This window comes from Homo sapiens, chromosome X (assembly GCF_000001405.40).
Source record: "Homo sapiens chromosome X, GRCh38.p14 Primary Assembly".
NCBI lineage: Eukaryota > Metazoa > Chordata > Mammalia > Primates > Hominidae > Homo > Homo sapiens.
Genome location: NC_000023.11, coordinates 79090813 through 79092605, shown reverse-complemented (window position 1 = coordinate 79092605; position 1793 = coordinate 79090813).

Sequence of the window (1793 nt, the reverse complement as noted above, 5' to 3'; positions counted from 1 at the left end):
TTCATTGTATGCTGATTCCCATTTTGGTCCTAGGCTGTATGTGTTGCTTTTGTGGGCTTCTCTTCCTTCTCATGGTTGTTCTTCTATTAACCCAAAGTCACAAATGTTGGAGCCTAGAATGTGATTAGAACAATAACTTTCTTGTTGCTCCCCAGGTGAGACAAACCCACAGAAGTCCAGTGAGGGCCTAGCCAGGAAACTACCACCAACCAAGGGGAAGAATGATCCAGAAGAGACAGAGTGACCTCAGAACAGTGAGCTAGAACCTCCGAATGGCAAGCTGGAGTAGATGCAAGAACAGAAGCAGGTCCTGGCGAATAGAAAAGATATAGAAAGATGGTACTGCAAACAACTCAGATGAAATTCACACAGGTCTTGATTTTATCAACACTTTATTGAATTCACTGGCAATAAAAGAATGAACTGGGAAAATAGATTAAAGAGGGAAAGAATAACTTATACTGTAACAATTGTCTTTATTCTTCACCCACCCCTTAATACCACCACTTTCCTATGAATAAAAGAATGTATAAATTATTCATTGTTAGTAGCAACAACCACAATCAAAGCAAAAAAGAAGTAACCATCCTGAAACAACTTTAAAGCACAGCTTAGACATTTTACATAACTACAAAAGTCAGAGTGTACTGTAGTATGGTTACTTAGGAAACTGAGAGCCAGCCAGACATTGGTCTTATTTATATTCAACAAATTCAGTGAATAGGCCAAAATACAGTGACTGTAATGACAGATATTAGTTGTAAGAATCTCTTTTAAGGCCCATAGCTCTTGGTGGTTGTCATAGTAATTAAAGACAGAGGGAATTAATGCATAAACCTTGCGATATTTATTGATGTCAGCTTTATAAGGATGAGTCTTTTGGTCACCTAACCAATCACTATGTATTTTCTTTTAAGCCACTCAACAGGCATTCATTGAGCACCTACCATTTGTATGACACTGGGAGAGCTAGACTAATTATATGGTCACTCTGTTTCTTCCGTAGAGAGAGAAATATGCAGGCCCTAATCATTCCAGTAAGATAAACTACCAAATTCTTATTTTCCCTGTAAGAAACTAGATTCAAATTCAATATGTCATATAGTACAATAAATTGTGGGTGCCCTCATGGACTTTAGAGTCTGGGAGAGAAAATATGGTTTCACAGGGAAATAGAATTTAAGCTGAATCATAAATGATTTGTAAAACTACATAGACAGAGAGGAGGGGTAAAGGCAAGCATGTCAGGGCAACAGTATGAACAGAGCCAGAAATGTGTATGTTTAATGATTTTTCAAGAGACTTTGAGTTTTTCCTACTTTATATTTATGCAGGTTTGGTTATTCGACATAATTAACCAGACCAGGGATTGTAGGAACTGCATTGAATGAAGAAAGTACTTTGAACCCTTAACGGCCCCTCAGCAAATCTATACATGACCAAACAATACCGCTAGGTAACCTATTCCTGCCCTCAGCTGTTTCCTTTGCAATTGTAAAGTTCTTTTAGATTTGTCTCAAATTCATTCCTTCCCAAAGTTCTAAAGATCTGGCTTCCCATCTATGGAATATATTTATAGGGGACACTGCCTATACAATATAGGATCTCCATTGTCTCCCTAAGGCTATGGTCAATCTCTGATATTTGAATTTTTCAGAGATCCTTGGCCCTAAGCATAACTCACTATACTGGAAAACTGGACCTAACTAACTGATGGTAGGGGCCCAGTTAAATGGTTCCTTTCTGTTCTCTTCAAGGGGCCTCAGTTAGTGTTGTCTTGACCCTGAGTGCCA